This window comes from Homo sapiens, chromosome 1, assembly GCF_000001405.40.
Source record: "Homo sapiens chromosome 1, GRCh38.p14 Primary Assembly".
In the NCBI taxonomy this organism is placed as follows: Eukaryota; Metazoa; Chordata; class Mammalia; order Primates; family Hominidae; genus Homo; species Homo sapiens.
In genome coordinates, this window is record NC_000001.11 from 6,779,731 (window position 1) to 6,805,736 (window position 26,006).

General features: G+C 44.4%; 1 protein-coding gene and 1 long non-coding RNA gene across 36 annotated transcripts in view, besides 8 other annotated features; one reads left to right on the forward strand and one right to left on the reverse strand.

Moving 5' to 3' along the window:
* Positions 4,090-4,766: an enhancer, noted in NCBI's record as "H3K27ac hESC enhancer chr1:6843880-6844556 (GRCh37/hg19 assembly coordinates)". NCBI's record gives its function as "activates a minimal SCP1, AML or CMV promoter by ChIP-STARR-seq in naive H9 embryonic stem cells {active_cell/tissue: H9 hESC(naive)}" and the evidence as "EXISTENCE:reporter gene assay evidence [ECO:0000049][PMID:30033119]".
* Positions 4,162-5,250, reverse strand: CAMTA1-DT (CAMTA1 divergent transcript). The gene is made up of 3 exons (NR_149049.1): positions 4,928-5,250; positions 4,419-4,493; positions 4,162-4,315 (listed from the first exon to the last, which is right to left on the reverse strand). It is a non-coding gene; the product is annotated as a CAMTA1 divergent transcript (long non-coding RNA).
* Positions 4,567-4,626: a silencer, noted in NCBI's record as "silent region_174". NCBI's record gives its function as "represses an Ori minimal core promoter by ATAC-STARR-seq in GM12878 lymphoblastoid cells {active_cell/tissue: GM12878}" and the evidence as "EXISTENCE:reporter gene assay evidence [ECO:0000049][PMID:35858748]".
* Positions 4,707-4,766: a silencer, noted in NCBI's record as "silent region_175". NCBI's record gives its function as "represses an Ori minimal core promoter by ATAC-STARR-seq in GM12878 lymphoblastoid cells {active_cell/tissue: GM12878}" and the evidence as "EXISTENCE:reporter gene assay evidence [ECO:0000049][PMID:35858748]".
* Positions 4,767-5,441: an enhancer, noted in NCBI's record as "H3K27ac hESC enhancer chr1:6844557-6845231 (GRCh37/hg19 assembly coordinates)". NCBI's record gives its function as "activates a minimal SCP1, AML or CMV promoter by ChIP-STARR-seq in naive H9 embryonic stem cells {active_cell/tissue: H9 hESC(naive)}" and the evidence as "EXISTENCE:reporter gene assay evidence [ECO:0000049][PMID:30033119]".
* Positions 4,897-5,306: a silencer, noted in NCBI's record as "silent region_176". NCBI's record gives its function as "represses an Ori minimal core promoter by ATAC-STARR-seq in GM12878 lymphoblastoid cells {active_cell/tissue: GM12878}" and the evidence as "EXISTENCE:reporter gene assay evidence [ECO:0000049][PMID:35858748]".
* Positions 5,647-5,806: a silencer, noted in NCBI's record as "silent region_177". NCBI's record gives its function as "represses an Ori minimal core promoter by ATAC-STARR-seq in GM12878 lymphoblastoid cells {active_cell/tissue: GM12878}" and the evidence as "EXISTENCE:reporter gene assay evidence [ECO:0000049][PMID:35858748]".
* The window catches only part of CAMTA1 (calmodulin binding transcription activator 1), a 984,253-nt gene continuing 963,970 nt past the window's right edge, over positions 5,724-26,006 (forward strand). For 34 of the 35 annotated variants that reach the window (XR_001737064.2, NR_146203.2, NR_146202.2 and 31 more), the window contains exon 1: positions 5,724-5,845. Coding sequence is in view for 27 of the 35 variants with exons in the window: in XM_011541084.3 (XP_011539386.1) it covers positions 5,801-5,845 (45 nt within the window). In the remaining 8 variants the exon portion in view is untranslated. Of the gene's footprint in view, positions 5,846-19,564; positions 20,327-26,006 lie in introns of those variants that run through there. The other variant, XM_047415988.1, reaches the window with a different exon arrangement.
* Positions 6,017-6,286: a silencer, noted in NCBI's record as "silent region_178". NCBI's record gives its function as "represses an Ori minimal core promoter by ATAC-STARR-seq in GM12878 lymphoblastoid cells {active_cell/tissue: GM12878}" and the evidence as "EXISTENCE:reporter gene assay evidence [ECO:0000049][PMID:35858748]".
* Positions 6,297-6,476: a silencer, noted in NCBI's record as "silent region_179". NCBI's record gives its function as "represses an Ori minimal core promoter by ATAC-STARR-seq in GM12878 lymphoblastoid cells {active_cell/tissue: GM12878}" and the evidence as "EXISTENCE:reporter gene assay evidence [ECO:0000049][PMID:35858748]".

The window sequence follows — 26,006 nt, forward strand, 5'->3', positions numbered from 1 at the left end:
GCTCTGTCACCCAGGCTGGAGTGCAGTGGCTGGATCTTGGCTCACTGCAACCTCTGCCTCCTGGGTTCAAGCGATTCTTGTACCTGAACCTCCTGAGTAGCTGGGACTACAGGCATGCGCCACCACGCCTTGCTAACTGTTATATTTTTAGTAGAGATAGGGTTTTGCCATGTTACCCAGGCTGGTCTTAAACTCCTGGCCTCAAGTGATTTGCCCAGCTCGACCTCCCAAAGCGTTGGGATTACAGGCATGAGCCATCTCACCTGGCCGATATTTCAAGTAAGTTGAAATTCAGGCCTACTAGGCCCAAATATCTCATTATATTTGGGGTATCCAACAAATCTTTACTCTTGCATATTAACAGTAGACATTCTGAGATTATAATGCCTGACGTAATTGGGATGCAGAGAAGAGGAAAGGTGACCATTTGCAGGATAGGAAAACAGGGACCATCTGGTGAAGGGTTGGTTCCAACAAAGTCCACAAGTTTTCATTGTTTCATCTTGAAAAGGTAAGGGGACATAGGAGCTCTCTGTATGATTTCTTATCACTGCATGTGAATCTAATTATCTCAAAATTAAAAAAATAGTTAAAGACAAGGGGAGAAACTTTTTGGAAATGGAACTTTTGAATATTATTACTTTTAACCATGCAGCCCCTTGGTGGCTAAAGGAGGCACAGGTTTTTTGTTGCCCTGTGCAGGGGTAAAATAAGCTTGGGATGATGAGCTTCTCTTTTATTTTTTTGAGACGGAGTCTCGCTTTGTCTTCCAGGCTGGAGTGCAGTGGCATAATCTTGGCTCACTGCAACTTCCTCCTCCCAGGTTTAAGCAATTCTCCTGCCTCAGCCTCCCCGGTAACTGGGATTACAGGCGCGTGCCACCATGCCCAGCTAAATTTTTATTTTTAGTTAGAGATGGGGTTTCACCATCTTGGCCAGGCTGGTCTTGAACTCCTAACCTCGTGATCCACCCGCCTTGGCTTCCCAAAGTGCTGGGATTACACGTGTGAGCCACTGTGCCCGGCCTGAGCTTCTAAGTGTTTAAGCTTCTGAAATGGGTTTACTCCATGCTTTCCTCTCCCAATCCAGTAATATGGAAGCTTCGGTAACTTCCAATTTAAGGAAGCAAGTCCAAGCACTTTTATTTTTATCACCACCAGTAATATAAACAGCCACTTTACTTTGGAAAGCTGACCAGGAAGAAGCCTCTTTTGCACCTCTTTGGGGTCAAAAAGTAACAATTTAATATTCCCACTATTTCCCTTATATGTTCTGTTTCTGGACAGTAAAATTCTTTCCTTGAAGGACATTAGGGCCAAAATGGGCAAGGATTCCGAGATTGGTACATCGAGCGTTATCTTCCAACTCTCTTTTCTAAATGGGCTCATTTAGTAATGCAAGCTGCTTCCTTTACTTGAAATGCCCATCTCTTGGTTACCCTCCCAAGCAAACAGAAACACCAACCAGCCAGCCCCAAAAAGATCTCATTCTCTAGCCCAGTGGTTCCCAAACTCTTGAGTCTCAAGATCTTTTTCCACACTTAAAATTTAAGGATTCAAGCTGGGCGCGGTGGCTCACGCCTGTAATCCCAGCACTTTGGGAGGCTGACGCCAGCGGATAACGAGGTCAGGAGTTTGAGACCAGCCTGACCAACATGGTGAAACCCCGTCTCTACTAAAAATACAAAAATTAGCCAGGTATGGTGGCGGGTGCCTGTAATCCCAGATACTCAAGAGGTGAGGCAGGAGAATCGCTTGAACCCGGGAGGCAGAGGTTTCAGTGAGCCGAGATCGTGCCACTGCACTCCAGCCTGGGCAACAGAGTAAGACTCCGTTGGAGACCATCACGGACAACGTGGCAAAACCTCATCTCTACAAAAAATACAGGTGGGCATGGTGGCGCCCACCTGTATTCCTAGCTACTCAAGAGGCTAATTGCTTGAGCCCAGGAGGTTAAAGCTGCAGTGAGCCTTGATTGCACGGCACTCCAGCCTGGGCAACAGAGTGAGACCCTATCTCAAAAGAACAACAAAAAAGAGAATAAACCCATTACATGTCAACATAAATCCTATTTTTATGAGAAATACCTACATTTTCTAAAATAAAATTAGTGGTAAGTGTGAGATTGTTTTAGTTTTGCAAATCACTTTAATATCTGACAGTAGAAGACTGCTGGATTCTTCTCTGCTTCTGAATCTTCTGCATTCAGCCTGTTGTGAGATCACGTATCTTGCAGCCTCTGGAAAACACTGCACACAGAGTGCAGTGTTGGGAGAAATTGACATATCATTGCTATAAAAATAGTTCTGAAGTCAGGTGTGGTGGCTTATGCCTGTAATCCGTGCACTTCAAGAGGCTGAGGTGGGAGGATCACTCGAGCTCAGGAGTTTGAGACCAGCCTGGGCAACAAGGTGAGACCCTGTCTCTACAAAACTTAAAAATTAGCTGGGCATGGTGGTGCATGCTTGTGGTTCTAGCTACCGGGGAGGCTGAGGTGGGAGGATTACTGCAGCCCAGGAGTTCGAGGCTACAGTGAGCTTTGATGGCACTACTGCACTCCAGCCTGGGCGACAGAGCAGGACCCTGTCTAAAAAAGTTTTGACTTTTGGGTCCCTTGAGTCTTGGGGCTCCCTCTGCTCGACCAAGGTCCCTAGAGAACCACTGTTTTGAGAACCACTGTTGTGGCCTGAGGCTAAGGTAATTTCAATGGTGATGGTGTTGAGGCCCAGGTGATGTTTGTGACCTTCTCCGGTGTTCCCATCGCACCTGTCCTGCTGCTGCTTATGTTTGTGAACCTGGCCAAGTTGGGAGTCTCTTGAAGGAAGACACTCAACTTTATTCACCTTTCTTTCAATTTAAATGAGTGTTTTAATGATAAAAGTAACATAGAGGCCAGGCGTGGTGGCTCATGCCTGTAATCCCAGCACTTTGGGAGGCTGAGGCAGGCGCATCACTGGAGGTTGGGAGTTTGAGACCACCCTGACCAACATGGAGAAACCCTGTCTCTATTAAAAATACAAAATTAGCTGAGCATGGTGGCGCATGCCTGTAATCCCAGCTACTCTGGAGGTTGAGGCAGGAGAATCGCTTGAACCCGGGAGGCAGAGGTTGCGGTGAGCCGAGATTGCGCCATTGAACTCCAGCCTGGACAACAAGAGTGAAACTCCATCTCAAAAAAACAAAACAAAAAAAAAACCAAAAAACAACAACAAAAACAGCTATATTATAGAAAATAGGCAATTAAAAAAAACTCACTTATAATCCCCCATACGTCATTTATTTGGTGTATGTTATCAGTCTATTTTTTTTTTTTTTGAGGTGGAGTCTTGCTCTTGTCACCCAAGCTGGAGTGCAGTGGTGCGATATTGGCTCACTGCAACCTCTGCCCGCTGGGTTCAAGCAATTCTCTTGCCTCAGCCTTCCAAGTAGCTGAGACCTCAGGCGCCTGCCACCTTGCCCACCTAATTTTTATATTTTTAGTGGAGACGGGGTTTTGTCATGCTGGCCAGGCTGGTCTCGAACTCCTGGCTTCAAGTGATCTGCCCACCTTGGCCTCCCAAAGTGCTAGGATTGACAGGCGTGAACCACTGCACCCGGCCTGTATCGGTCTTTTTTAAAATGCAGTTTTTTTAGCCTATCATCTCACCTCATAAATGAACACCATAATTTTGGGTATTGCCCCCTCTATCTAGCAATGGGTGATTTTCTGTTTCTGATGTCTACAACTACCATAATGTTCCACTGTGTAGATGTAACACAATTTACTAAATACCCAATATTAGCACATGTAGGATGCTCCCAATTTTTTGTTGTAGTTAAGTACAGTGATCCTGTGAAGAATACCTTCACACATACAGCTTTTCTGGCATTTAGTGTTATTTCCTTAGAACAGATTCCCAGAAGTAAGATCACTGGGTCAAAAGATGCAGACATTTTTATGGCTTTTAATACATACTGTAAAATTGCTTTTCGAAAGGAATATACTAATTTACAATGCCACCAGCACTTCTTTTAAGAATCCGTTTCTCCACACAAATCGTCAACATAGGTGCTATTAAGAATGCTAATCGATAAAATATTGTCCCGCCGTTGTTAAAATTTTGCAATTTTTGAGGCTCATAAAATTAAAGTTTCTTGAAGAATGAGTGTGTAACACAAAACATTCTTTTGGGACATCTTTATTTCTGGAAAACCTAAGACATTCTTACTTGTGAAGACCAGAAAAAGAACACATGTTGTTAGGATTGGCACAGAATTCAGTGTGACAGTCAATCTTAATGCCAGAACACTTGAACGAGGATTTTTCACTTATTTTGCTAGTTGTCACCAACAGTAGCAAAAGGAAAAATAAAATGCGGAAGAATGAAATGTTCTTACTGCAAACCGTACAAGATCACATTGAGGGGCTGGAGCTCTTACATTCAACTTTTCTTTCCTTTTTCTTCTTTTTAAACAATTTGCGATTGCAGCCTCTCCTTTTGTTTCCGGTATTACCTGCCCAGGAGCAGAATTCCTTACTTTCTCCGGAGAGAGGCCGGTCCCTGGGAGCGCTGCCCAGCCACCCGCACGCCTAGCCGCCCCGAGAGCCGCACTCGGCGGACCCGGTTCCTAGGCTCGTTCCCGGGGCACCTGGCGGGCGCCCACCTCCCGGGGGGCACGTGCTCCCGTACGCAGCGCGAGGGCAGCGGGTGCCTGGCTATTTATTAGGAAAAGCCCCGCGCGGACTCTCCGGATTGAGGAGGGTGGGAAACTCGGCTGCCCAGCGCTCCACCCGGGCGGCCGGGGCTGGCGCTTCTCTGCTTTCGGCCGGCGGCCTCATCCTGGGACAGGCAACCATGAGTCATCCGCTCCGCGGGTCACATGGGCAACGTGACCAAAATAAAGTTTCGGTATTTTAAGCCGCCAGAAAAGGGGACAACGGAGCTCACCGGGGGCGGGCACAGGAGGCGGGCGCAGGCGGGCGGCGCCGGGGCCGTGGGGACGCGGCGCCGAGGGGGCGGGGCCTGGCGGGAGGCTCGCCCCTCCCCCACGGCCGGCAGCGACGCCCGGACTCCTAGGCAGTCGGACTCCAGGGCGCGGCACCCCTGCGGACCTCAGCCCCGAGGCCCCCCGCGTCCGGCTCCCCACCGGCAGCGGCGGCGGGCTGCGGGATCCCGGAGATCCCGGCGCGTCCCCCACAGCCACCGGGACCCCACGCGCCAGCAGCGGCTTCCCCGGGAACGTCCTTCAGCCCCGGGAGCACGCGGGAAAAGCCCCAGCGTGCCAATGAGGGAGCGCCTTCCTCATGACGGTCACGCTCGGGGGCGGGGCTTCCCTTCGCCGCTCCCGAGTTCCGGGAACCCCCTTTGATTGGTCTGGACGGCCTGGGAAACACTGTAGTGACGCCCAATCAAAACGCCACGTCTCGGCCTCGAGGAAATATTCCGTGTCGGGCCCGTCCTGATTGGACAGTTCTTTCGGGTTCTGGCCACTAGGAAGCTTTGTTTAGGTCCGGAAGGCGGGCTTTCCTGGGAGTGGGTGGGGAGGGGGCGTTGATTCTTGACCAATCCTTTCAGTCCGTTGGGTGGTGACCAGCCAATGGGCCGGATGGATAGGACGCTCCTCCCGGAGAGTAGTGAGACCCCTGGTGCGGGGCGATTGGCGGCGGGAGCGATGAGTGGCAGCCGCACGGCCCAACGGGAGCTGTGCGTGGGCCGCGGGGCGGGGCCAGGGCGGGTGCGCGGCGGCGGCGGGGTGGCTGGGCCGGCGGCGGCGGCGGTACGAGGCGCGCGCTCGGGGTCCCGGTCGCGAGGAGGAGGAGGATGTGGCGCGCGGAGGGGAAATGGCTGCCGAAAACAAGCCGGAAGGTAAGAGCCGGAGCGCGAGGGGCTGGGGGGCGGCGCGGCGGGCGGCGGGACCCGGCCCCGCCGGACATCCCGGGCATCGGCGGCGCCGGGCGGGAGCGCGGGGGCGCGGCGGGCGGGCGGGCGGGCGACCCGGCCGGGGAGGGGGCCGGCGGGGTGGGGGGGCGGAGCGCGGCCGAGTCCTGAGGTGACTCGCGGGGCCGGCGGAGCGCGGCGCCCCACACCCCACCCCCGGGGGCGGGCTGGGGCCGGAGGGGGCGGGGGGCTCGCGGGGCGGGGACCGGGCCCAGCGAGGAGGAGGAGCCGGCGGAGGGCCGGCGCCTCCCCCACCCGGACCGGGCATCCCCGCCGCTCCCGAGCCCGCTGCGCGGCCCCCGCACCCCCGGCGCTGGGTCCACGGTGGGGGCCGCGGGGCGGAAAGTTTATCCGCCTCGGGTCCTCCTGGCCCCGCGCCCCACTGCTCCGGGCCGGTCCCCGTCGGGCGGCAGCGGCCGGCGCTCAGCCCTCGCCGGCCCCCTGCTCTCCGGCGGGCAGGGCCAGATGTACTCTCTCCGGCACCCTCTTCAGCCCCGTGGACACCTCCCTGAGCGGGCGGGGGGTCCCCGAGCTTCTCCCCGCCAGGGGGACCCCGTCCTGCCGAGCGTCCCTCGGCCGAAGGGCCTCGTGTGACCCCTCCCCCTTCGCTTCCCGGGAAGGGAAGGGGGCCTGCGCAGCATCCCCGCCCCTCGCAGTCGTTCACATCCTACTCTTGCCCTTGCACCCTCACAGCCAGGAGGGTGGGGTCTCCGTTTCTATGGCAAGTGAGGATCTCCACACTCCCTTGCCCTTTACCTTCCGTGACCCCGATCCTTCCTTGGCACAGGGGTCCGTCTGATCTGCTCATCTTCTTTGGATTCTTTTGGGGCCTCTGCACACTCTCCGTTGACCCTTTTTGCCAGGACAAGGGGACTCAGGCTGCCCATGTTCTTCTTTCCTCACCCAGTGGATAGTGGGGGCTTGTGCAGCTCTGAAGTCATTTCTAAATAGGAAAGCAGACACTTCTTCCAGATCATGCATACTCTTACACTTTGCTGGGTTAGGGCGAGCTCATTTCCTAAATACCCTTTGAGTTGCCCTCCTTTTCTTATGGAGACAACTGGACGTTCACCGTGCTCCTTTCGCCATTTGTGTGTCTACACTGACTTGTTCTCTCTTCTCGGAGTTCCTTGTCTGGGTGAGAGTGGGCGCCCCAATAAGATGTAGGGCAGGGCTTCCATTGTGCCTAGTGCTTGAGTGAAAAGGGGCCACACTAGTTGCTCCTGTGTCTGAGGAAGACCGGGGTATATTTTTGCCTCCACTTGACTCTTGTGTCTCAGGAGGGGGCAACCTTCATCAGTTGACACTACCTCACTGGGAAAAGGGTCATGTGGCCTTGTTTTTTGATGTTTTGATTACTGTCTTCTGTGCAGTGAGAACCAGACTTTGTCCGTCCCACACTCAAGAGTCCTTGAACCTTTCCTGGATATAAACTTCCCGATTGTTTTTTGAGAGAACTCATATCCTCCTCTGTGGCTTCTGCTTCGCAGTCAGCCATATTTAGTGAGCCTGTTACTTTGACTTTTTCTAATTTTCTCAAATTGTATTCATGTTGGCTGGGTAAGGAGAAGCCATATGCCTTTCCATTCAGAAAAGGGAGTGTAGACACCCGTGTCGCCCACATGCCATCCTGGAAGAGGTTGCTTGTGTGCTCCTTGTTGTACTAGAACCTTCCTTTGGCTCTGGTGTTGTCTCTTGTGGGATCCAGACATTTCTTTAGATCTTGTAGCTTTCAGAAGGGGGAATTTGAATGCTTTCTGTTTTTTGCTGTTCCGGTTCTGCTTTGGAGAACCAGATCATGATGCTATATTCATTTGTTTACATATACATACATGTAGGTATACACAGATGAAATCACATTCATTACATATACAGTGCACAGGAAGTTGGAAGGGTCAGATGACTAGCTCTACATTTTGGGTGCATATGGGGACCTTTATGTGTAATGATACAGATAGATATTAACGTTGTTGGTAACTCTTCAGGCTTAGAAGCAGCAGCAGAAGAATCACGGATAAATGGCCAATTCTGACTATTCTTTGGTTTGTAATGTGTACTGTACTGAATAAGCAGAACGACATCCTGCGTGTTCACCAAGTCCCTGAATGTGCGAAGCGTACAGTGCCTGCCCATACGCATCGCAACTTTGGCGGTCTGAATTTAGGGGTGGTATTCGTTGCTTGATTCTGCATAGAGTGAAAAGTTCTTGATTTCTTTACTGCAGTGTAGGGGAAAGAGATTTCGTGTGTTTGGACAAACGACAGGAGATGGGTGAGAAGAATATGTTTTCCTGTGACAGAACTAGGAACGAATGACCGTAAATATGTCCCTTTTGTATTTTGGCCATTTAAATAATTGAGAGAGGTTGTGAAATTAGCAAAATGTACCTGTGGAAAGGCCCTCGACGCTTCATGAGAGGATGGGGAACGTTATTCTTCAAGTTCTTTTCTCTTGGACAGGGGAATGATTTGAGCCCTGTCGGCTCTAGTCAGGTGCTTTGCCTCCTCAGGTCTCCCTCCCTCCCTCCCTCCCTCCCTTTCTCCCTCTTTCACGAAATTCAGAATGGCTGCTAGCCGCTGTCACTCAGCAGGGAAGTCTTACTCTTTGACAGGCTTAGTGTGGAGACTCATCCTCCCCAACAAGTTCCGTTGGGCTCTGGGGCTTTGGCCTTTAAAACTGTTCTAGCTCAGAGGCTCGCTTTGCCTCAGTTTACTGTGTAAGGAGAAGTGGCTCATCGGAGATTGGGTCAGCGCTAGTTCTGTGACTTCTGGACTTTGCCTTTCAGTTAGCATTGAGTCGTCCAGTGGGCCTGATTCCCAATGTCAGAAAGTAGAGCTTTTGAGCTCATTTTCTTGTTTTTGGTTTTAAATGTTTTTATGCTGTTCGTATTCTGTGTCTGTAGTCAGCTTGATGGGATTGTGTATTTTTAGGGGGTGTTATTAGGGAACTTCGGAAAAACGAAGAGTCGAATACCTGCTGTAGATGGTGTAGACTCAGCGGAGTCATCCCGTTTCCAGTGGTGGTTCTTCCTACCGTTTCCTCCATGGCCCCATGGAGACTTTGGGAGTTTTCCCTGGTAAGCAGGGGGCTCCGTGCAAGGCGCAGTGGAAGGAAAAGTGGTAAAGATTGGTTGGAAGAAGACACTTGAGGTTATTGTCTGAAGCTGGGCCCTTTTTCTTGAGTTTGATGTGGTTGTGTTTCTGTGTCACTGGTCGCCACAGATGATTGGAAATTAGCTTTTTCCTTTTACCTTGTAGTGCAGAATGCTCTGTTGCAGTTGGGCAGACTAGACGGGTTCTCTGAACCACATAGTTTAATCTTTCTGTTCGACTTTCTGTTAGGACATGACTCTTTCCTCTCCTTCACCCCTTACCTCCAGTTTTTGGGACTAGGTTGGGTGACCTCTTCCTCCTTTGTCTTCTTGGAAACCTTACTTATCCTGCTTCTGCAAATGTTGGGTTTCTCCATCTCATCATTGAGTGGATTCAAAGTGTTGACATACACAGAGCAACCTCTACTCAAGGTCAGATTGGGTCAGCTTTTCCTTTTCAAAAGAGTAGTGTTGCTCTTACTTGCTCTTTGAGACATATTTATGCATCCTGCTCAGCTGTGTTTTCTGTTTCCTTAGTTTTTAGGCTCTGGCGATTTTAGGCTTTCCCCCAGAAATAGCCTATTCTTTAGAGAGTAGTGTTTAGTTTAGTCTCCTGTTTATGCTGGATGTCCGCCCATGTGTCCTGCTCGGTTTTTAATTCTTTGTGACTGATTTTGAGGTAGCCCATCTCAAAATCTTAACGTTTTTTTCCCCACTGTTTCATTACTTTGAGCCATTCTTCCTTTCCTGTTTGGGGGAAATACCCCTTTGTGTGCAGTTGTACTTCTTTCTCCTTTCCTTATGGAAAAAGCAGTAGAAGGTGATTCTCTTATTTTCTTCTGTTCCCCTCATAGTTGTGTCAGTTGACTCTTTTGTGGAACCTTTGAATTTGCCCTTCTGGGGAGAAGTCGTTTTTGTATTTATACTCCCATGACTGGAGTCATTCATTCAGGAGACCTTTACCGAGCTTCTGTTATGTACAAGGAGCTGTAGGGGGTGATGTGACTTTGCTTGAGACCATATTGGATCTTGTTAGCCTTTTATATTAATGACATTTTAGTGTATCTTTTTTTTTTTTTTTTTTTTTTTTGAGACAGAGTCTCACTCTATTGCCCAGGCTGGAGTGCAGTGGCACGATCTCGGTTCGTGCAACCTCTGCCTTCCAGGTTCAAGCAATTCTCTTGCCTCAGCCTCCCAAGTAGCTGGGATTACAGGCGTGCACCACCATGTCCGGCTAATTTTTTTTTGCATTTTTAATAGAGACGGGGTTTCACCATGTTGGTCAGGTTGGTCTTGAATTCCTGGCCTAAAGTGATCCGCCTACCTCAGCCTCCCTTGCCTCAGCCTCCCAAAGTGCTGGGATTACAGGCGCAAGCTGCCACGCCTGGCCTTCGGTGTGGTGCTTGTCTTAATGCTTGTCTTTTATATAGTCTTGCAAGGAATTTTTTTTTTCTGATTTTTAAGTTTTTGGATTGTTAACTTACAAAGATATAGTGTAATAGTGTGCTATCTTGTTGAACCTTTTTTCCTCCTCAGCAGGAGTGGGGGTGGTGAAGAGGGTGGGAGGGTGGACTGGGAGAGGCATTTAGCAGCTTTCCCCCAGACTGTGTGCAGAGTGTGAGAGAGAGAGAGAGAGAGTGTGTGTGTGTGTGTGTGTGTGTGTGTGTGTGTAGACAAAAGTAAAGTCAGCCTTCTTAATCTGATTGTGTAGGCATAACTTTTAGGTTGTTTAGATACATGATTGGTTGGAATGCTTATTTAATATTTGAACGGCAGCATCGCACTAGGCATTCTATAGAACATAGAGTCAAATGTATTTTTTATATAAGGAAGTGGTAGAAAAATATTTTTTTCTTCGGATTAACTGGTATGGTTCATAGTAGATAGTGAGAACTGTATGAGCTGCTGTTACATTTTCACTGCCATGAAGAATTATATCCAAATTTAATACCTAATTGATGCTCATTCTTAGGCTAGGCATCTGATATAATTATCACTTTTATTATATGACTTTTAATTTATGCTTTTTAATGGTATTATTATTTTTGTAAATTGCCTCAAATTCTTTGTGGGTACAGGTTAGGTATAAATAATGATAATAATAAAAATTACTAACAATTTGAAATACCCCTTTTCTTTTTTCCTCTATTAAATTAGATTTACCATCTCCACAACGTATATAGAAACCAATTCTGCTACTATTTCACTCTTGTGAAAACTCCTGTGTGAGGTTTGTAATATGTGGTTTGGCAGTATGAGTATGTGACTGAGTGTATTTTGTGTTGACAAGTGATGTGTGTGTTTCTTTTGCATTTCCATTATACAGATCTTTTCCTAAGGTGGTGTGTATCTTCTAGAATCATGTACCCTGTCCTTTTTTTTTTTTTTTTTTTAAATGTTCTAGGTGACTTAAATCCGACCTCCCTTTCTTTTCTTCGGCCTTTCCTTTTATTTTTTGTCCTTTCCCACATAGAGAGGTTTCTTCACTGACCTGTCATTATTATAAAAAAGTGTTTGTTAGATGTACTGTATTTGTAGCCTTTTAGTAAGAAGGGGATGCCCACCATCCCTTTGTCCTGTAGCACAAGGCATTGCTTCTTGTTTCCCTAAGAATAGGTAGATGGAATGAGATTTAAGCCAGAAGGCCGCTGGTAATAGTATTTGTAACTAGATAGCATCTCTAGATAAAACACTGGGTCCTTTCTGCTCTGGGCCTCCCCATGTAGGATTTTGGAAATTTTTTTTTGCTGCATTTAGCCAGCTTCTTTCTGTCTCTTTGGCTTGATACAATAAATTTCTTTAAGCACAGCCAAGTATATTATTTCATTTGGAGCCTTCATTTACAAGGAAGTATGGGGGCCTCTCCTAATGTTCCTTTGCCTGTTATATATAGTACTGCCTTTAGTTTTTGGTGTGTTTGAGAGTGAGAGTGAGAAGCATTCTTGCTCTGCTACTTTGTCTGTGTAACTTGAATAAGAGTGTACGGTCATTCACTCTATTTTCCAGATAGTGTATAATCTTTCTTTTTATTTTTCTTGAATACCTAATCAGGTTCGAGCTAGAGGTTGATCCGACTATCATATCCTTTTATTTTGTGCCATCCCTGGATATAGTGTCCCTTAGTCCTGTGATTAAGCCATGTTCCTATTTTGTCATTAGAGAGAGGGACTTACAAACATATAGATGGTCTCCCATGATAATTGTCATGCATTTATAAGGAAAGTGTTTCTTTTCTTTTTTTTTTTTTGAGGCTGAGTCTTGCTTTGTTGCCCAGGCACGATCTCCGCTCCCTGCAACCTCCGCCTTCCAGGTTCAAGCGATTGTCCTGCTTCAGCCTCCAAAGTAGCTGGGATTACAGGCGTGCACCACCATGCCCGGCTAATTTTTTTTCGTATTTTTAGTAGAGACGGGGTTTCACCATGTTGGCCAGGTTGGTCTTGAATTCCTGGCCTCAAGTGATCCGCCCACCTAGGCCTCCCAAAGTGCTGAGATTACAGGCATGAGCCAATGTGCCTGGCCGGAAGTGTTTCCTTGTATAAATTGACAATGGAGAGCAGTTCACGTGATGGGACAAAGTAAAGGGTGAGTAAAGGGTGGTTTTGGGTTTTTTTTTTTTTTTGCCATCAGTATGCTAGCTGTATATTTCTAAGGTTGTATTGCATCCTTCTGCTTTGAACACCATTGCTTGTAGAAGGTCATGGGCCTCCTGTGTAAAGATTGGTACTGTTTCCTGAGCATTTTTTTTTTTACCTCATTACCCTGGACTTACAGAGAAATATTATGTACCCCATTGCAAAGAGAGGCCAAGGGTCAGCCACATTATTTCCCCTTTTGCTCTTTTTCTGGAGGATTGTTCATTTACTTCGAACTGATTGACATGGCATAAGATGGAATGACTAGAGATTTTTTTTTTTAAAGGTTCCTCCATATTCAACCTCAGTGTTTGGCTCTATCCTGACATGGTTGCTTGTTCTCCTGTACATGAATCCTTTTGCAGTTACTTTCTTGTTTTTGTTTTTCAAATTTAGCCAGGGCTTTCAAGTCACGTAACATATCCTTTCCTGAGACTGTGAGCCGAAGGTAACTTCAAGGAAGATATGCTTGTTTGGGGCTGTATTCATCACTCTGCTCTCTACGGTTTTGTAGTTTTCATGTGTACAAAGTGACATTTCTTGAAAGAAACGTTTGGGGCTGTGTTCTTAATAGTTTTAAACATGTTATTATGTGGAGACTAAGTGGCAAAGGTCTCACCCCAACTTCATTTCTTCATACCACTCATATATATCTTATATATATATACCCCACTCTTATATATATATATACCCCACTCTTATATATATCTTATATATATCTCCCCTACCTGCAAATCCCAAAACAATAGTCATAGCAACAGAAAAGCAAAACCTTGTGAAGCCCAGCTCTGATTGGTTCTGCTGTGCAGTTCAGTCGCTAGTTTTGGACAGGTGCATAAGCAGATAATTTTTGGATGTGTAATATTCTCAGTGGGGCTGATGTGTGACTTTTGGGACATAGAGCATTCATTCGTTCAGCAGACCATGCAGTATCTCTTCCATTTTTTTCCCCTTATCAGTTACCACAAGGTAAGATTATGTATTCAGTCACTTAAAAACACTTGCAAAGTGGATTTTTCCCCATTTATTCCTATCTAACCATTGGAATAAATGTTGACAGTAGTAAATTACCATGTCCCTATTTTTGTGTTCAACATGTCTAAGAGAATGGGGAGCTAACTTCCAGTAAGGGCAGTACAGTCAGTCATGACTCTTTCTCCATGTAGCCTGTGCATTGTGCAGTGATGATTTATACTTTCAGCTAAATTTAGTGTCTATGATAAGGGATACATCAGATGTTTAAGTTCACTTAATCTCTTTTACAGTGTGCATTCAACAAGGTGTATTTGTGTCTTATATTAGAATGAAATGCAGATACAACCAGAGGTATTCTTTCAACGTAGAGAGAGAGAGAAAGCCTTTCTTTTTACAAGTTTTGAAAAAAAGTTATTGTCTATTTTTCCTTCATGGTGCTTGATTTAGATTGCCAGGAGTCATTTCTGAAGGTATATTAATACAATCAAGAATTAATGTTCTTAAAACTTAAATTTGTTTTTTAATCCTTTTCTGAAAAGTCATTTCTGAGGATATATGTGCCCTGTTGGTTTTCTGGGCACTTGGATATCAAATCATTTGGGAGTGATAATAAGAAATTGGTACAAAGTGTGAAATTATCAGATAGAAAGAAAAAAGATGTTATAGTGGAAAAAATTACTCATTTATGATTAAAAATAATCTCAAAGTGATGACTGGAAGTATAAATTCAGATATTTGAAGAAGAAATGGAATGTTGATAGGGTTATTGTATTGAATCAACACATGCACACGTATAAAGAATGCTCCCCAAAATGGGGACGCTTAGAGGACAAATAAGTTGATTGGATTGGTTTTAAGAAAAATATTGTTTGTCTTTTTAAAAAGTAATTGAAATAACCCTTCTTAGTGAAGAAAATGAAAACTTTGATGGAAGTTCAGCAGAATGGAATATTTAAAAAGATTCAAGAGAAGGATTTTTTTATTGCGAATCCACAAGGGGGTAGTGATGTTCTTTCAAAGATATTTGTGGTGGCAACAATGTGAGATGATCTCTTCACATTTTAGATTTACAGATAAAACTGGCATGTTTGCATTTTAACTTAATAAGATCTTCTTTTTAAAATGTTTATTGGCAAAATTGTTTATTGCTTAAATTAAAAAAAATCCATTTTGGGTGAATGGCTACTTTAAGCCATATGAATGGTAAAGAAGAGAGAATGTCCTTACAGTTTTGTGCTTTGGAGAGGTCACCAAGGATGTGAGGGTCACTGTTATTTTCTAAGAATGTAATAATCTTAAATTCCCTGGGAAACATTAGACATCTAGGAATCAGTTACTTAAGTGTCCTGAATAAAAGGATTTTAGTAAATTGTGTCTAAACTTTACAGAAGTTTGTATTACTAGTTGTATTTTCAGTGCTGCCGAGAGATGAAAAATATGAACAATCCATGCCACTAGCCACTTTTAATAGTTCTAAGTAAATCAAATTTTTATAATCTTTTTTATTAGTTTATATTACATCATTAGATAAAGGCTTTTTTTTTGTTTTTTTTGTTTTTTTGTTTTTTTGTTTTTTCTTCCCTCACATAAAAATTCAGGAGCTTTCTTCTGGTCACTGAGTTCCACCCCATATTATTCAGAATTACTTAAAATCAGGTGTGGTAGGCCTGTGCTGGGTCATTTTCAGTGGAGGACTGCCTAGCTGTATTATGCACTCATTTTTGAAAGTTATGCCGTGTGGTGGGAGAAAGATTTAAAGTTGGGGGGCGGCTGTGTCCTACTTATTTAGAGACACAACTAGTCATCACCTGTAACAAATGTGACTTCTTTTAAAACTTATTTTATCTTACTTTTTTTTAGAGACAGGGTCTCGCTCTGTTGCCCAGACTAGAGTGCAGTAGTGCAATCCATAGCTCACTGAAGCCTTGGCCTCCTGTGCTGAAATGATCCTCCTGCCTCAGCCCCCTGAGTGACTGGGACTACAGGTGTGTGTCACCATGGCTGCTTAGGTTTTTTTTTTCTCTTTTTCGTAGAGGTGGGGTCTTGCTGTATTGCCCAGGCTGGTCTTGAACTCCTGGTCTCAAGCAGTCCGTCTGCCTCAGCCTCCCGAAGTGCTGGGATTTACAAGTGTGAGCTACCATGCCCTGCCTAAAAAATATTATTTCTAACAATAACACAAAATAATTATGTGGTTTAGAAGTTATGATAGTTTGTGCCATATACATTGTATATTTTTCATTTTTGGTTTGTGGAAAAGGTTGTTAATTGAGCTTTTCTCTTTTTTTCTCCATTCCCTCATTCTGAGCAAGGAATGACTTTTTCTTTTATTTCCTTTACGAAATGACTTTGGTGTTTTAACATTCCAGAAGATACACTGTTTTTTATATGCTACTCTAAACTCTGCTGGGAACTGAACTATGACGTCAGCATTTTCATTCATGAATCTGATTCTTCTAAATTTTTTTCCTGTTTTGTATTCCTGAGCTGACTTCTGGCACATGCACAAATCAGTTTACCATTAGTCAGCCCATAAATCACTGATAAAAGGTAAAACAAAAGATAAGATACTGGAGTTATTTTGATAGTGCTATAGTTCTCATGCTGATTTGCATCAGTACAGTTTGGATAAGGTTTCTGGCTAAACAGATTGAAACCTAAAAAGTCAATTTAATTATCTCATGATTTTGTGACTTGAACTGTGTTGTGAACATATTGACACAATATTTTTGTTCTTACAGGAAGTTGAGAGTGCTATGCTATGGCTCCTTTGTTATAAAATAGCATTTCTTTTTTTTTTTTTTTTTTTTTTTTTTGGAGACGGTCTCACTGTGTCACTCAGTCTGGAGTGCAGTGGCATGATCTCTCTCGGCTTACTGCAGCCTCGACTTCTTGGGCTCAGGTGATCCCTCAGCCTCACAAGTAGCTGGGACTACAGGCACGCGCCACCATGCCTGGCTAATTTTTGTATTTTTTGCGGAGATGGAGTTTCGCCGTGTTGCCCAGGCTGGTCTCCAACTTGTGAATGCAAGTGATCCACCCACTTTGGCCTCCCAGAGTGCTGGGATTACAGGCGTGAGCCACTGAGCTGGCCTAAAGTAGCATTTCTTGTATAATTTGACTAAGTTGGAAGATTATATAATGCTTTATTTCAGAGAGGTTAGGCCTAGAGATTAAATGATGTTTTATTCAAATTACCTTTGTAATGGATTTAGATTTTTTTTTGGAGCATTTTCTTGCCTTTGACATATTTTAAATAACTTCATTGTTTGATACTTTTATTTTAAGATATTATTATTGTGGTGGAACTAGCCTAGTATTCCTTGTATTGGACTTAGGGTGCATCTACCCTGGATTGTGCACTCGTGTAGCTGTTGACTCCGGTTTCTCCTCTAGGGAGGTCACTGCTTGCAGTTCAGTACTACGTTAGAACAGTTCTTGAAGAAATCTTATTTGGAGTTTTCTTCTGCAGGCCAAATTTCAGGCTAAGCCTCCGGCCCATAGTATCTTTCAAGCCTGCTGTAGCTGATGAATGGTGAGCCGTAAAAAAGTTTATTTTCTCTACTTTCGTGGGGGATTTGCTGACTTTCTGGATACTCAATTGCCAAGAAACATTTAGAAATAAAACGTGTTATATTTAGGAATCATCATTTTAGCTAAATAATAATGCATGATTAGAATTGATGATTCAAGCTGCAACCACTTTGATTGATACCCAGTCTTACTCTTGAGATCACTTTTTTTTCTGAGACAGTCTTGCTTTGTCACCCAGACTGGAGTGTAGTGGCGTGATCTTGTGTCACTGCAGCCTCCACTTCTCGGGCCTAAGCAGTCCTCCTGCCTCAGTCCCCCAAGTGACTGAGGCTATAGGTGCGTGCCACCATGCCAGGCTAATTTTTGTAGAGACGGGGTTTTGCCCTGTTGTCCAGGCTGGTCTCATACTACAGGGCTCAAGTGATCCTCCTGCATCGGCCTCCCAAAGTGCTGGGATGACAAGCATGAACCACCACGTTCGGCTGAGATGACTTTTTATTTTTTATTTACTGGGTTTTTTTTTTTTTGAGATGGAATCTAGCTCTGTCACCCAGGCTGGAGTGCAGTGGCATGATCTTGGCTCACCGCAACCTCTGCCTCCTGTGTTCAAGCAATTCTCCCACCTCAGCCTCCTGAGTAGCTGGGATTACATGCATGCACCACCACGCCTAGCTAATTTTTGTTTTTTTTAGCAGAGACGGGGTTTTACCATGTTGGCCAGGCTGGTCTCAAACTCCCGACCTCAGCTGATCTGCCTGCCTCTGCCTCCCAAAGTGCTGGGATTACAGACGTGAGCCACCGCGCCTGTCTTGAGATGACTTTTTAAATGCCATAACAACTCACAGATCCTGTGTCCTCCCATTCTTAAATGAAACTAGAGCTTTGTGTTCCTTTAGGTTAAACTAAATTATCTAATAGGTAACAGAAGAGTGGTCTGTTAGCTGGCTTTCTCCTTTCAGTAGATTTGCTAAGAGAAAGGAAATAAAAGCAAGTAGACTGTGAATAAACATTGAAGATGACTTAAATGACATTGTTTTCCCTAATAATGAAATAATTTATATATTATTTAAATATAATTTCTATAAAAGAATCTATTTGCAAGTGATAATGAAGAAAGGAATTTTTTTTTTTTTTTTTGAGACAAAGTCTTGCTCTTGTCCCCCAGGCTGCAGTGCGATGGCGCGATCTTGGTTCATTGCAACCTCCGCCGCCTTGGTTCAAGCGATTCTCCTGCCTCGCCCCCCAAGTAGCTAGGATTACAGGTGCTGAACACCACGCTGGGCTAATTTTTGTATTTTTAGTTGAGACACCATGTTGGCCAGGCTGGTCTTGAACTCCTGACCTCAGGTGATTCACCCACCTCGGCCTCCCAAAGTGCTGGGATTACAGGTGTGAGCTACCGCACCCAGCCTAAAAAAGGAATATTTAATGGTAGAGGGCTCTGTAAAAACCCCCTAATTTTCAAAGCCATGTGCCACTGTAGAATTTATGAAAAGTTATGGGCTATTATTATTAGGTTTCAAAAAGTCTGGAATACTGGCGGTAGCATCAGAATTATTTATTTATTTATCTTTTGAGACAGAGTCTATCTCTGTCGCCCAGGCTAGAGTGCAGTGATGCAAGCTCCACTTCTCGAGTTCACGCCATTCTCCTGCCTCAGCCTCTTGGGTAGCTGGGACCACAGGCGCCCACCACCACACCTGGCTAATTTTTTTTTTTTTTTTTTTTTTTGAGACGGAGTCTCGCTCTGTCGCCCAGGCCGGACTGCGGACTGCAGTGGCGCAATCTCGGCTCACTGCAAGCTCCGCTTCCCGGGTTCACGCCATTCTCCTGCCTCAGCCTCCCGAGTAGCTGGGACTACAGGCGCCCGCCACCGCGCCCGGCTAATTTTTTGTATTTTTAGTAGAGACGGGGTTTCACCTTGTTAGCCAGGATGGTCTCTATCTCCTGACCTCATGATCCGTCCGCCTCTGCCTCCCAAAGTGCTCGGATTACAGACGTTAGCCTCCACCTCCACGCCTGGCTAAAGCGTTATCATTTTTATCTAACCCTGAACCAATCAGTGATTGGTTAGTTCTCTAGCTGTGAAGGCTTTGCACTTCCTAGACAGCTTGTAGAACAAGCCCACTTGGATTCCCAGCTCAAACTCTTTCCTTTTTACTATTTATTTATTATTTATTTATTCGTTACTTATTATTAATTAAAAAAATTTTTTAGAGACAAGAGTCTTGATCTGTCACCCAGGCTAGAGTGCCATCACAGCTCACTGCAACCTTGAACTCTTGGGTTCAAGTGATCCTCCTGCCTCAGCCTCCTGAGTAGTGAGGACTACGGGCGTGTGCCACCACACCCGGCTAATTCTTTTTTAATTTTATGGAGAAAGGGTCTTGCTATGTTGCGCAGGCTTGTCTTGTACTCCTGGCCTCAAGCAGTCATCCTGTCTCAGCCTCCCAAAGTGCCAGGCTTACAGGCATGAGCCGCTGTGCCTGGCTTGTACTCTTTCACTAGCTGGGAATGCTGGTGAGCAGGACTCAAGGATCCCAGCAGAGCTGCATCCTGTGCTGTCTTTGCTGCCACTTAGGTGGACCAGGAGCTAGAAGCCTTTCTCTCCATGGCCTCCATACCTTCTTTTACCAGATGGTATTTCTGCATTTATCACTCTTGATTCCAGCACAGCTTTTCCTCATCTTGCTTTTCTCAGACCTCAGCTCTTATGTAATGAGATAGTTGGTAGTCATTTTGAGGGGATTCATGTGTTGGGTAAAGGGTTTTCCTAGCGATGACCTCGAAAGTTCCTTCCCATTAATAATAATTACTATTAATAATTAATAGCAATAACTAATGATAAAACAGAACAGTTGCAGCAATATACTGTAATAAAAGTTGTGTGAATGTGGTCTCTCTCTCTCTCTGATTATCTTATTGTACCATACTCACCTATTTTTGGACCTTAGTTGACCGCTTGTAACTGAAACCATGGATAAGAGGGGGACTATTGTGTAAGGAAATGAAGTCGGAGATATGGAATTTCATTTCAGGGCTTGCTTTCCTGATATTCAGCTATTCTGTATAACTGTATCTTTTCCTTTTGAGGTCCTTGCTCCAGGACAAGAATAATATGTTGACTCAAGCTGTATGGGGGGATTTGAACTACAGACACTCAGATATCTCCTTTCTGAGGTACATAGAGGGCTTAATTTTTTAGGTCTGTCTGTTTAATATACTATATTTACTTTAAAAAACGTAGGCCGGGTGCTGTGGCTCGGTGCCTATAATCTAAGCACTTTGGGAGGCCGAGACGGGAGGATTGCTTTAGCCCTGGAGTTCGAGACCAGCCTGGGCAACATAGTGAGACCTTGTCTCTACTAAAAATAGAAAAAATTAGCCAGATGTGTTGGTGTGCGCCTGTGATCCCAGGTACCTGGGAGGCTGAGGTTGGAGGATTACTTGAGCCCTTGAGGTCAAGGCTGCAGTGAGCTACGATCACGCCACTGCACTCCAGTCTGGATGACAGAGTGAGATCCTGTCTCAAAACAAACAAAATGTAAAAAAATTTAAATTTATTAAAAAAGATGTACAACACCAAAATGTTCATAGTTATTCTGTATGACAGATCTGAGGTCTTTGTTCAGACATAGATGAGGGTTCATAGTTTTGGAAAATAGACTTAAATAATATATGATTACAGATGAAAAATATTTGCTAACCTCAGACTTTTTATGTTTAAGGTAGTATTTATATTCATTTAGTTGTACTTTCTGGAGTTGATTAATATAACTGTTATTAAAATCTATCGATTCCCAGTAATTCAGTAAATGAAGACTCTTCCTATTTAGAAACTCGTGTGGATTGGGGAGTTGCTGTGGGCCCACTGTCATTGATCATATCACATCTTCACTTGAACCTGCTCCCTGGGCCTCCTATAGGCCTCGCGTTTGGAGAGGCCGTGAACATAATTTATTTTTGGAAGTTTCTTTCATTTTTAAAGATACTGAGAGGCAAGTTGAAGTTCCTGGTGTTCGTGTAAACATTCCCTGCCTTATCCTTTCCATCTCAGCCATTATGAAATGTTCTGGCTGAATCATTTGCTTTCACAAAGCTTTGATGAAAGTTTCTTCCTCATTTGGTTTTCTTGATAGAGGCTGTTGTGCTAAAAAGAAAGCTATAACAAGTTAGAAGGGTGGAGAGTGGGCACTTAACATTTTTGAAGTACTTGTCTTTCTTCCTAGGGGTCCTCCAGAAATTGATCATAGATAACTTGACCAAATTCAAGGCCCAGAGATTTCTTCCAGGCATTCTGGGAGGGAAGGAACATCAGGCTTTCTGTACTGAATCTAATTATTCTAAATATTTCCCACTGCAGCTTGTATGAGTGTTTTCTGATGCAAATATGGTGATAGTGGCGACCTCTCTAACTGGGCTAAATATCCTTGACAGCTTTTTATCTGTCCTCTCCAAGTATTTTTAGTCTCTTTAGCTTCTGTGGCCATGTCTGGAGGAACTGAGGATGGATTTAGCTGCTCTGGTGCTGCTCCAAGTTGTTGTGGGTGCTCTTTGCTACCTTCGTCACTGTCCTGCCACAGTCCTGCCACTGATGAGGCTCCTGGCCCTTGTCATTTGATGAGGGAACATAAACACTTGTTTAATAAAAATAAAAAAGTCATGATTTTCAGAATGCTTTGAAAATAAGCTATGGCTAATGGTGATACACAATAGGAATGTCCCTAATTTCACTAAATTGTATGCTCAAAAAGGGTTAAAGTGGTAAATTTTATGTTATGCATATTTTGCCACAATTAAAAAAATAAAAACTTCAAATGGATTTGAAGCTTAATGAGAAAACTAGTTATAATGTCCTAACAGTAAATATATGGCCAATATTTTCATGACCCCAAGGTGGGAGGCTGTGCCTTAAATAAACTGTCAGAATCACACATTAAAAAAAAAAAAAAGTGATGGTAATCAGGCCCTGAGGTTCATTTATACAGAAAGTGATTTTTAGGTGAGATTTTAATATTTGCAATATTTATATTTGTAAAGAGGATTGGCTAGCTCATTCAGAAAAGTCTGAGGTTCTTAATAAACACTAGGAAACAGATGGTTTGGGGTTGATGTCAGGGAAGGTAAGCAGGCCGTGCTTTAGATTAGAGCACTTTTGATTGCAAGTCCCATGAGCCACACAGTTTAGGCCAAGTGAAAGCAGTTTTAGTCTAAGAAGAGCAGAAGCAATCGTAGCCTCTCGGGACAGAAACTGAAGTGCAGCTGGGCAGTGGGAACTGGATCTGGAGAGTCTGGAGTACATGTCTTCTCTGGAGCTGGGCTTTTTCCATTCACATGTAGCTTCCTTGCTTGAGTTACATGTAGTGGCCTTAGTCATGGCTCCTGCATGTCCTGACTCTAGTTCCAGTACTCATCATCATCTGACTCCCATTTCTATGGCTCAGTACAAAAATATTCAAGACTGGGTATTGGACTGACTCCTCTCAGCCATTTGCTTTGTTTCCATAGGCCAGGTGATCATCTCACTCTGGTCGACTATGAAAGAAGGTTGGTTAGATCCAGCAGCCTGCTGATCATTTAGAGGGTCTTAGAGTGAGAGGAGATTGTGTGAGAAGCTGGTTATCATAGCAGGGGGTCCTGGCACCTCAAACTCTGTCCCCATCAAACAGTGTAAAAGAAAAGATATTGACTCCTAAAGGAGTGTCTTATGTTCAGATGCTATAGAGTTTTGCAGAGAAAGTGTTCAGTGTAGCTACAGATAGAAGGCCAAGTGTCCTTGGTCAGCCAGCCTGGGTGTGTGTGGAGTAAGTTAGTGGTAGGTGTAGTAACTGTCTCAAAGCTTTTTCTTTGTCTCTCTCTCTCTCTTTTTTTTTTTTGAGACAAGGTCTTATTCTGTCGCCCAGGCTGGAGTGCAGTAGCACAATTTCAGCTCACTGAAGCCTCGACAGCCTGGGCTCAAGTGATCCTCCCACCTCAGCCCCCCAAGCTGAGGACTTAGCTGGAAAACACAGGCATATGCCACAACGCCCGGCTGATTTTTATGTTTTTAGTAGAGACAGGGGTTTCATTATGTTGCCTAGGCTGGTCTTGAACTCTTGGCCAGCTCAAGCAATCCACCTGCCTCAGTCTCTCAAAGGGCTGGGATTACAGGCGTGAGCCACCGTGCCCGGCCCCAGAACTTTTTCTTTGAATAGTGGAGAAGCAGAACACCTTGGAATGCTATGGTCTGTGCGGTCTTTGCCCTGTGGGTGTTCTCAGGTGGAATCAGGCAGTTTGGGTGATGTCAGTATCATTTGAGGTCTTCCACAGTTCAGCTATTTGGGTGGGCTTCCCCACTTTTCCCCTTGTTTTGGGTCGGTAAACATAAAAGGATGGAGATGTGTATCCTTAGTAAGAATGGGAGACGTTGCCTTCAGAATGGGTAGAAAGCAGAAAACAAGCGGGGAAGAAAACAGAAAACAGCCTCTCTTTAAGTGTATGTGGCTGCCTGTGTGCACAGTCCTTCACCTTTTCCTTAGTATATCCCTCCTGCCTCTGATCTCTTGTTGTTCTTGATTTTTCATGGTAGAAGGAGGAAACAAAATTATAGAAGACAGGTGGAATACTGTGAAAGAATAGTAGTTTGGAGATAACTATGTAAAGGGCTACTAGCCTGCGCACCGTTGAATTCTCTGAATTTACAGCTGTTTAGTCATTGATGTTTCATAGTGTTGACCTTGAGTAAATTCAGAAAAGCAATACTGAGTATGTTCTGCTAAACAAAAGAGGAAAGTGTATGTTTTTAAAGAAACAACCTTCACAGTGGTTTCAGTAGTTACAGGGATTTGGTTCTTTTTTAAATTATTTTATTTCTTTTTAAAGATGGTCTCACTCTGTCATCCAGGCTGGAGTGCAGAGGTGTGATCGTAGCTCACTGGCACCTTGAATTCCTGGACTCAAGTGATCCTCCTGCCTCAGACTCCCAAGTGGTTAGGAGTACAGGCATGTATCACCATGCCTAGCTGATTAAAATTTTTTTTTTTTTGGCCAGGCATGGTGGCTCACGCCTGTAATCCCAGCACTTTGGGAGGCTGAGGCGGGTGGATCTCCTGAGGTCAGGAGTTCCAGACCAGCTTGGCCAACATGGGTGAAACCCCTTCTCTACTAAAAAAAATACAAAAAGCTGGGCATGGTGGCGGGTGCCAGTAATCCTAGCTACTTGGGAGGCTGAGGCAGGAGAATCAGTTGAACCCGGGAGGCAGAGGTTGCAGTGTGTCGAGATTGTGCCATCGCACTCCAGCCTGGGAAACGAGCGAAACTCTTTTTTTTTTTTTTTTTTTTTGGTAAAGACAGGGTCTCAATATGTTGCCCAGGCTGATCTTAAACTCCTGGCCTCAAGTGATCCTCCAGCCTTGGCCTCCCGAAGTGCTGGGATTGCAGGTATAAGCCACTGTGCCCAGCCTGATTTGTTTTTTAATAATAGCTTAAGATGTAATTCATATATTATAAAATTAACCCTTTTAAAATATATAATTGAGTGGGTTTTCTTTTGTATATTTACATGTTTCGTGCAACTGTCCCCACTCTCTAATTCCACATTTTCATCACTCCAAAAAGAAAATCTGTACCCATTAGCAGCCACTCCCTGTTGCCTCCTCCTCCCGGCCCTAGTCAATTACTAATCTGCTTTATTTCTTTATGCATATTTATGCCTAGTGTGAACATTTCATATAAATAGAATCATGTAGTGTTTGTCCTTTTGTGACTTGACTGGCTTATTTCCCTTAGCATAATGTTTTCAAGGTTTTTATCTATGTTGTATGTAGCATGTACTGTTACTTCATCCCTTTTTTAAAATTAAAAAATTTTAAATTTAATATAATAGAGATGGGGGTCTCGCCATGTTGCCAGGCTGGTCTTGAACTCCTGGGCTCAAGTGATCCTTCTGCCTCGGACTCCCAAGTGCTGGGATTACAGGTGTAAACCACTACACCTGGCCACTTCACTCCTTTTATTTTTGAATAATCCTCTGTTGTGTGGATATATACCACATTTTGTTTATCCATTCACCAGTTAATAGACATTTGAGTTATTCCACTTTTTGGCTATTAAGAAAAATGCTGCTGTGAACATTTGTGTACAAGCTTTTATATGGACATATGTTTTCATTTCTGTTGGAAAGATACCTAGGAGTGGAATTGTGGTGTCGTAGTTAACTCTGTTTAACTTTTTGAGGAACTGTTTTCCAAACTTTTCCAAAGTGGTTAGATCATATTACATTCCCACCAGCAAGTATGAGAGTTGTAATTTCTCCACATTCTTGCAAACACTTGTTATTGTCCATCTTTTTGATTATAGCCATTGTTGTAGATGGGAAGTGGTATATTATTGTGGTTTTGATTTGCATTTCCCTAGTGACTAATGATGTTGAGCATCTGTTCATGAGCTTATTAGCCATTTGTATGTCTGCTTTGACAAATGTCTATTCAAATCCTCTTCCATTTTTGAATTGAGTCAATTGAATTTTTGCTGTTCAGTTGTAGGAATTCTTTATATGTGTTCTAGATATCAGTCCCTTATCAGATATGTGATTTCAAATGTATGATTGACATGTGATATGTGATTTTTCTCTGATTCTGTGTGGGTTGTCTTTTCGCTTTTGTTTTTTGAGAGAGGGTCTCATTCTGTCACCCAGGCAGGAGTGTAGTGATGCAGTCATGTCTCCCTGCAGTCTTGCCTGCCTGGGCTTAAGCGGTCCTCCCACCTTAGTCTCCTGAGCAGCTGGGACTTCAGGGGGGCACCACTGGTCTGGCTAATTTAGAAATTTTTTAATAGAAACGGAGTCTCTATATTATATTATGCCCAGGCTGGTCTTGAACTC